Consider the following 9,880-nt stretch of genomic DNA (forward strand, 5'->3'; position numbering starts at 1 on the left):
AACACTACAGGGAAAGGATTGGTGACAATTTAGATACATTTCTGAAACTTTTGAATTTCATAAAAGATGACCTCTCAGTGGCATTTTTTTTTTTTCAAGATGGAGTCTAGCTCTGTGGAGTGCAGTGGCGCGATCTTGGCTCACTGCAACCTCCACCTCCCAGGTTCAAGAGATTCTCCTGCCTCAGCTTCCCAAGTAGCTGGAATTACAGGCACCTGCCACCATGCCCAGCTAATTTTTGTATCTTTAGAAGAGGCGGCATTTCACTGTCTTGGCCAGGCTGGTCTCAAACTTCTGACCTTGTGATCCACCCACCTCGGCCTCCCAAAGTGCTGGGATTACAAGCTTGAGCCACTGTGCCCGGCTGACAATCAATTTTATACCGACAACTCTGTTTACTTTTGTATAATCTTACTGATAGGTTAGAACATGGCTATCTCATTGTGATGACAGATTGCAGGAGACAGTTGCTCAAATGATAGTATCGGTCTATCTTGGTCAAGTGTCTTAGCTATATGAATTTATCATTTAACACTAACAATACAAATGTTCAGCTGGTAAATAGCTCAAAGATCGACAGGAAGGTGTCTAAAACTACAGGAGTGTCCAAGCAAGCAAGGTTTCACAGTGAGGGAGGAAGTGGAATGAAAAGGGGGAGATGGCAGACTTGAAAAGAGCCCAAGAGTTTGGTTGTGGGCCAGTGAAGCATTTCAGTTTTCCGGATAGTTATGAAAACTGAAACTATGACTCCAAATGTGGGTTCAAAGGGAGGGTGGGATGCTGAAATATTGTTTTTGCTTTGTGTAGGCAGAGTTCCTGTCTCAAGAAGAGGTTTGGCAGTAACAAAGTTTAGCTATTCTGCTGGCCATCACTCCGGAAAGTGTTCCCACGAAGTGGCTGACTTAAAAAGTAAGCTTGACTAAGTATCATATCACATGAGCAGCACTGGAAAGAGGCAGAGCTGAGGGAAAGAGGGAAGCTTCTGTGTAGACGTCGACTTTACTCTTTGACCACCATACCTTGCCTTTCAGTTTGTGGGTAGCTTAGGAAACCGAAGTCAGACAACATAATTGGCTTTTGGGGGATAAGAATTGTGTCTTTCGGATGTTTCTCATAGTGCTTTACAGGATATACCCTCAAAAGAAGCTGAAAAAATTTTAAAAAGAAAGTCTGACACATTTCAATGCTGTGTTCAAGCCTTCTGTTTTCCAAAAGAGGCCATCAGGTATCACAGCAAATCACTTTTGTGGATTATAAAAGGAAGGTGACTTGCAGCTCTAAAATCTTAAATTCTCTGCTCCATGTTCTGTGTTTTATAAATAAGCATAATTGGTATTCAGAAAAGAAATCTGCAATCTCAGCCTACTTCAGGATGTTGGTGAGTTGACTAAGCTGTAAAACTCCTTAAAAGTCAGGATGTTTGGGCAGAGGAGGGCAAAATGTCTAGACAGAACAGAAGGTTTAAACTGCCCCTGGTGAAATTTAGTGGGAATTGACTTTAGCAGCTCTTCCTCCTGGGTGAATAGCTTGTGATTTGCGACTGTGAAGTGGTTGGACTGAAATGCTTTCTACTCTGAAGTTGTATGACTTTTTTTTTTCACATAGTGAATAGAGATATTGATGGAAAAGACATAACTATCAAGATAAAAGTGTGTTTTAAAATAATACTTTTAAGTATTCGACTGTATTCCTTTGTCCTTATGCAAACTAAACCTTGAGAAACAAAGACTGGTAAGATCTTGTGGAGAGAAAGTCAAATATTCCAATTCATTTGGCTTTGTTTGTGCCATATGTGTAAATAACTCCAACAAGATAGTCTGAGAAATAAGAGTTCATCTGGGAACATTCTTAGTCTTGTTATTAATGTTTTAAAATCCTTAGAACTCTTTTGCCAAATTCTGAGACTTAAAATGCAAAGATAAGGATGATTATTTTCAGAGCCAAGTGTGGAAATTATTCTTCTAGTATCTCTCTGTGTTCATGCGGTGCTATTGACTCTGGCAAAATGGGATCTCATATCTCTTTACTAATGAGAACTCAAATCTTCCCTGGGGACTGGCAACTTTAAAGGCTCATTACTCATATGTTTGATGTTATCTTTTGCTGGCAAATAACTGACGCTAGAGTCTTGAACATTTGCCTTTTAGGTTTGCTGTTTGCCCAACATTATGCTAATTCATCTGAAATGGAACTGTCAGCGGCTGCAGAATGTCTTTACCTTTCTTGAGAATTGAAGAAATTTATCTTCACTGGAAGCCTTAATACTAAGCACCCTTTTTTTTTTTTTTTTTTTTTTTTGGCGTTCTTGGTCTTTTCTTCCAGGAGGTGGCGATAGAACATCATAAATATCAAGGTACAAAATGCATGCGTTTTTGCCCCTCAAAGCCTCCCATTGTGGAGCTTATGACCAGCGTGAGTTACTATTCAAGATTTGAGCCTTGGGTGAGCTCTTTTATTGTAATATTTGACTTCCAAGTCATATCTGAAGAGAGAGCAGAAGTACTTTCAACTCCACTGATCACTTGTTTTTCCACTTAGCTTCTCATTTTCTGAGTTTGTGCTGTTGAGTGCAGGAAATGTTAAATAGGTTGGCCTTCAGTTGAAAGATACTGAGATTTACTAGCGCTGTTGTAGATTGGGCTTTTGAACCTAGAATTATTGCTTTTGGTGTAAACCAACATGACTGCCATGCTGTTTCCTAGACATATGAGGATACTACAGGCTCTATTAGAGACTAATTTTTAAAATAGCCCCTGATATTCCTCAACTCTTTATATTTAGCATTTTGTACACTATTCTCCAAGTTGGCATTTGGCAGCTTTTCCTCCTCTTAAGGCAAAGTTAAAAAAAAAAAAAAAAAAAAAAAGGGACATTTGCCAAGGAACAATTTCACCACAGGAGCTTGGCTGGGAAACGGGAATTTGGTATCTTGCTTGTGCACCTGCCAGTTGATTTCTGATTTCTGTATTAGGGGAGAGAGAAAGTTATTCTGAGGTTTATCATCAACAGCTGCCTAATCTTAATAGGTTTAGCTATCTTTTAGAGTTATCTAATTTGAAAATATCTGCTGTTTGATTACCTTTAATATTTTCCTTTTTAAAAAATTATACTTTAAGTTCTGGGGTACATGTGCACAACGTGCTGGTTTGTTACATAGGTTTACATGTGCCATGTTGGTTTGTTGCACCCATAAACTCATCATTTACATTAGGTATTTCTCTTAATGCTATCCCTCCCCTGGGCCCCTGAATATTTTCTTAAAACAAAAAGTTCCTGGTTTAGCAAGCAAAACTGGGATAGGTATGCAAAAGAGAATCCAATGGAGAGTTGAGCACAAGCAGCTAGAAGAAGAAAATGAATATACAGAGAAGGGAAGTTTGTAAAACTAAGGGTGGGAACTTTCTATAGGGCAGCACAGAATAGTTTTTTATTCACAGAAACTTTAACTATATTGCAGTACTTCGCAATTGAAAAGTGGAAAAGATAAATGCTTCATTCTAGTGCAGTAGTTTTGTAAGGGTTCTTTTTCTAATATGAAGTTTTTTTTTAACATTAATGTCTTCTAAAGTACATCTAGGTGGTCAATAAGTGCTTATTTGATTCATTCCTAATACAAATATTTTTGAGCTCCTACTGTTCACTGGATCGAAATCCTAATAAGTTTGAGTATGCATTTGCTATCTCAAGACGTTTGCTTTCTAATAGGTGGAGATAGACAGTAAGCAATTATTGGTAAGTAATGCTTTCTAAAACATGTAGGTTTTTCAGATTTTGGTAATCACAGCATGAAAGAAAGTCATCAAGGCCAGTTCTATGCAAGGCTGCAAAGCTAGGAAAGTATCAAAACAGCAGATCTCTGGCTTTAAATTCTAGCTTATGATTCATTAACAGTGTGCCCGTGAGCAAATTGCTTAACCTCTCTCAACTTCAGTTTTTTCATGTAAAATGGTAATAATAGTACTTATTGGTGAGTCTGTTATGGGGATTTAATGAAATAATGTAAGAAAAGCATTCAGCATGGCACTCACTTGAGACTCAATAAGTGGTAGCTACTGTGATCATTTCTGCTTGTCTTGCTTCAGCTGGTTTCCTTCCACTGCCAAGGGCTTGGTTCCTTGTGCTTGCTTGTTGCTGCCATTCTAGAGGAACACTCCTCCTGCCTCTTCAACAATACATGCACGCTGTGATGCTTCCTTTAGGTCTGCCGTCTCCAGGGGAATGGGGTTCTATTTCTAGAACTTACTTCAGGCTCCTGATCTCTGCCTGATCCAGTTAGATAACTGAATAGACTAGCCTGTGCCAAAGAGGTCAGCGCTAACCTTCACCCTTTGTTATTTTTGAGACAGAGTCTCGCTCTGTTGCCTAGGCTGGAGTGCAATGGCACGATCTTGGCTCACTGCAAGCTCTGCCTCCAGGGTTCAGGTCATTCTTCTGCCTCAGCTTCCCAAGTAGCTGGGACTACAGGTGCTCGCCACCACGCCTGGCTAATTTTTGTATTTTTAGTAAGAAAGGGGTTTCACCGTGTTAGCCAGGATGGTCTTGATCTCCTGACCTTGTGATCAGCCCGCCTCGGCCTCCCAAAGTGCTGGGATTACAGGCATGAGCCACCGTGCCCGGCCACCTTCATCTTTTACCTTGTTGAAAGAGGGCTGCTGAGACAGCCTGTCAGTGTGCACCATCCTGCATTCTGGCTTTTCTTTCTGAGGAGCGCTGCCTGTGGTCCTTTAACAGTTGCATTTCTGCTTCCAATGGCCGGACAGCCCAGGTATTCATCAAAAAGTGCTTATGAAGGGACTCTTCATTTCTAAATGTTGGGTGGACAGTGGTGGACAAAACAGACACTGGTGTCGCATTGAGCTTGGAGAAAAATGGAGACATAGACATTACACAGACAGACACACAGGGAAAAATATTTACAAATTTGGTAAGTACCACAAAGGAGGTGGTATGAGGAAGAACTAGGAGTCTGATTTAGATCAAGAAAGTGTATTAATTTTCTAGGGCTGCTGTAACAAAGTGCCACAAGCTGGGTGACTTTAACATCAGAAATTTATTGTCTCACAGCTGTGAAGAGTAGACATCTGAGATCAAGATTTTGGCAGGATTAGTTCCTTCTGAGGTCTGTGAGGAAGAATCTGTTCTATGCCTCCCTCCCAGCATCTGGGGGTTTGCTGGCAGCCTCTGGCGTTCCGTGGTTTTTGCTGCATCACCCCAACCTCTGCTTTCATCTTCACATTGTCTTCTCCTTGTGTGCATGTCTGACTTCAAATTTCCTCTTTTTATAAGGACTCCAGTCCTGCTGGACTAGAGGCCCACACTACTTCAGGAAGACCTCATCTAATTAGATCTGCAACAACCCTATTACCAAACAAGTTTACATTCTGAAGTAATGGGGATTAGGACTTTTAACACATGAATTTTTGTGGTTATGCAGTTCAACCCCCTACAGTCAACAGGGAAGAGCTCTCCAAGGAAGAAAAGAAAGGCATTTTAGTGGTAGAAGTGTCTCTTGGGGCTCTACAGTCATTCGGTATAAACAGCTGTTGCTCAGCCCTGTGTGAAGTTGGCCTTGTCACGGTAGCTTAGGCTGGGAATGGAGACAGAAAAACTCACATGAATTGTGCTTGTATATCTTGTTACTCATATGATTCTACATTTGAAAGTGGAAATTCAGTCTCCCCCGCAAGAGATGGGGCAGGAGGCTTTTTTTACTTCTTGTTCTTTGACATTAATGTGATCACTCTAGTTTAGGCTTTTGGATCATAGGGCAGGGAATGAAAATTTGGATAGTGTGACAGATTTATGCAATCATCTGTCGTGTCAGAGTTGCATGGAAATTTTAGATACTGAAAAAGTATCATTTGTGTTTTCATCCATCCATCCATCCATCTATTGCTATATGTGGGCACTGTGGTAGCTAATGGCAATGCAATCAGGTGATAGAAAAAATATTTAACCACTCATGATGTCAGGGCCAAAACCAATAACATCAGTAAACAATTGGTATGGCCACCCCAGGGCCAATCCACTAGCTACCAGCCATGTGTACAATACTTAATAACCAGCAATTGTCCTAGGTCTCATGAAGCTGGCAGCTGGCTAATAGAAATAAGATGCATACACATGTGTAATTTAAAGGTTTTTTTTCCCTAGAGTATGGGGTCTCATTTTGTTACCCAGGGGTGCAATGGTATAATCATGGCTTACTGAAATCTCAAATTTCTGGGCTCAAACAGTCCTCTCAGCTCAGCCTCCTGAGGAGCCAAGACTACAGGTGTGCACCACCATGCCTTGCTATTTTTCAAAATTTTTTTTATAGCGATGGGATTTTACTATGTTGCCCAGGCTGGTCTTGAACTTCTGGCCTCAAGTGATCCTCCAGTATTGGCCTCTGAAGTGTTGAGATTACAGGCATGAGCCACTGCACCTGGCCAATTTAAAGTTTTTTAATAGCTATGTTAAAATGTAAGAAGAGACCACTGAAATTAATTTAACAATATATTTTATTTATCCCAATATATCTGTCATTTCAACATGCAATGAATATAAAAATTATTGATGCAATATACCACATTCTTTTTTAATACTAAGTCTTCAAAATCTGGTATGTATTCTAATGCATTTACAGCACATCTTAATGGACAAACCACATTTCCAGGGCTCAATATTCACATGTGGCTGGTGGCTACCATATTGGACAGCACAGGACTAGAGGATAAATGGAGATCAGAGATCTAGCTCTCACTTTCTTAGAAAGAGAAGAGACCTACATAGAATAAATGTCCTTTGAGGGGCATTTGAAAGAGATGTAGTAGATGGATCATGGAGTGAGGGGAGTATATTAAAATATTAAATGAATGTATTTTTCATTTCCTTTTCCAACTTGAAATGTTTTCTTGCAGCCTTTCTGTCAGTGTGAGTCCCAGAAAAGTGGTGAGTATAAACAATGATTTGAGGAGAAGGAAATAATTGGAGTCAAGGCCCTGACAAACAAGATAAAGAAATAAAACAAGATTCTTCTAATATGAAGGAGAAAAGGATAGATAGAAGGGAGGGAGTGAAAGAAGGAGGTGTCAGTGTCCTTGCTTTCTCCTATTCTCTTAGGGTTGAACCATGGTAAGAGGTGAGGTCTAGAAACACGTGTGTAAGCATGAGGGAATGTAATGAAATTGGTAGTAGTGGCCCACTTCCATAAACATATTAGAGGGTACCAGAATACACAACCCCAATATATGCCTCTTTGGCATATGAGTTATTTTGAACTAAAGCCATTGAGAACCGGCAGTTGTAAGGAGAACTCTAAAAACAAGGCACAAGTTTTCTTTTTGTAAAGGAAAAGTTACATTTATAAAGGAAGTTTCCATTTGTAAAAGGTGTCTCCCTCTATCATAGCAGAAAGAGTAGGATTCTTAACAACTCTTATCAGTGGAGAAGGTACATACTTAAATCTTTATAACAAACCTTACTAAAAAACCCTGGGTTACTATACTTTTCCTGGTTACCTTCCCATAACTTGACCACCCAGAAGCTCAAATTTCTTTCCTTTGTTTAGCCTAAGATGTTATACAAGCCCAAGTTCTAACCATCCCTTGGGGTTATTTATCACTGGGTGCTCCCATGTGTACATGCATGTGTTAAACTTATGTTTGTTTTTCTCTTTTTAATATTTTGCAAGACTAATTTATATGGCCCCAGCCAGAAAACCTAAGGTGGGTAAAGAAAAAAGGTTTTCTTCTTCTTTCCTCTACAAGAGCCTGGGGAAGAATGCAAGCGTCTGCATTTAAAATGGCACCATATCTCAAACAGTGAAAGGGCAATGGGGTAGAATGGGATAGAGTGGGGTTCAGAGAGAGAGAGAGAGAAACAGAGATAACAGGAAAGAGAGATGAGCCTGAGGCTCTGGGCAACCACAACCTGCAGGATATCACAGAGCCCCTGAGTGCCCCAGTGAGAGGGTTTGGAGACACTCAGAGGTTGGAGTACCATCAGGGGCTGGGGATTAGAAGAAATAAATGAAGAATTTGAGGACCTGTTAAATGGAAGCAAATGACTGGAATCATAGCCTGTAATAGCGGATGTCAGCTCAGTGTTCCTGAAGGCCAGTGTGATATTGTGATATAGAATATATATTTGGCTTTCACCCCCAGTTCCTGGCACAGAGCTCCTAAAATCCTGGTAATTTCCTGAATGATAGGTGTAATAATAGAAACATCTTTTGTTATAATATTTGGTCTTAGTCCCAGGTCCCTGACACCAAGCTTTGAAGACCCTTGCAATCCCCACAGTGATGACTGTCTTTTGCATGGTAATGAGATGTTTTGTGGCTGGGGCCCCTAGAAAGCTGGGGACTGCTCACCATAAAGACCAAGGCATAATGAGAGGGCTGGAACTTTCAGCCCCACCCCCTGACTTTTGAAGAGGGGAGAGGGGCTGGAGATTAAGTCAATCACCAATGGTCAATGATTTAATCAAGCATGCCCACATAATGAAATTTTCATAAAAACCCTAAATGACAGTGTTTGGAGAGCATTTAGGTTGATGAACACAGTGACGTGCTGGAAGGGTGGTGCACCCAGAGAGAACATGGAAGTTCCGCACTCCTTCCCACATACCTTGCCTAATGCAGTTCTTCCATGCGACTGTTCTTGAGTTGTATCGTTTAGAATAAGCCTGTGAATGTAAGCAGTGTTTTCCTGAGTTCTGTGAGTTTTGCTAGGAGCTGTGAAAAAAAGTTCTCTGAAAAAGGAATTTGGAGGAAAGAGACTTTTTTTTCAGCAAATAGTTTGCAAACTGGCAGAAGCAGCCTTTGGAGTAAAAGGAAGATACCTTCCAGAGAGCAAAGAGAGTGTTTGAGCTTTATAGCAAAATTCCGGCCCAGGTTCCCAATTAGGTCTGTTCATACGAATGAAGGATTGAAACACGCTTAGTTCTGATTGGTTGGCACAGCTAAGTTCCGATTGGTCAATACAGCTGAGCCCTGATTGGTTGACACAGCTGATATTTGATTGGTTGGCTTCCAAGCCCCACACTGGAAGTCTGTCAGATGTTTCTTTCAAACAGCCAGTAGGGGTGTATTGGGCCACAGTTTATCTTGGTACCAAAAACAGGAACTAGTTTGGCTTGATTTTAGAAAGGGAGGTCCTATGGTACTTTTACAATATCTTTCTGAGAACACGGAGTACCTGACTGCTCCCTCACGCTGCCATGCTGCCTGGTTCTGTTTTAACTTTGAGCACCTAAAAATGACCATTTGTCAAAATGGGAACCCCTGATTTATAGCCAGTTGGTCAGAAGCATGGGAGGTCTGAACTTCGGATTGGCATCTAAAATGAGGGTAGCCTTGTCGTGGGGCTGGGCCCTTAACCTATGGAATCTGTTGCTAGCTCCAGGTACATAGTGTCATAATTGAATTGTAGGACACCTAGTTGGTATCCTGAGAGTTAGAGAATTGGTTAGTGTGAGACCTTCCTCCCCTCACCAATGTTTGGTGTTCTGTGGATAGAAACAGATCACAGTAGCTAGAAGACACACAAGAGACCTGAATACATTGTAGAGGGCCAGGCAAAACCATTGCAGGGGAGGAAAAATTGCCTCCTTCTACCTTTCTAGGTTCTTGCTGGTGTAGAAATTAAATTGACATAGGATTAACAGAAGAAAACAATTTTAATTATGTGCATGGGAGTCCCACAAAAGTATGATACCTAAAGAAGTTGTCAGATGATTAAGGTTTATGTGTCACCTGGAACTACAGAAAAGAATAGAGATTTGGGGTTGGGGGACAAGAGTGGAGGCAAATTACAGGAGGCTGGGAGGAAAGGCCAAATTAAGAGGAGATGGCCATGAAAAGCAGGTTAAACAAAAGTAAGATTTGTTATGCCTT

This window comes from Homo sapiens, chromosome 12 (assembly GCF_000001405.40).
Source record: "Homo sapiens chromosome 12, GRCh38.p14 Primary Assembly".
NCBI lineage: Eukaryota > Metazoa > Chordata > Mammalia > Primates > Hominidae > Homo > Homo sapiens.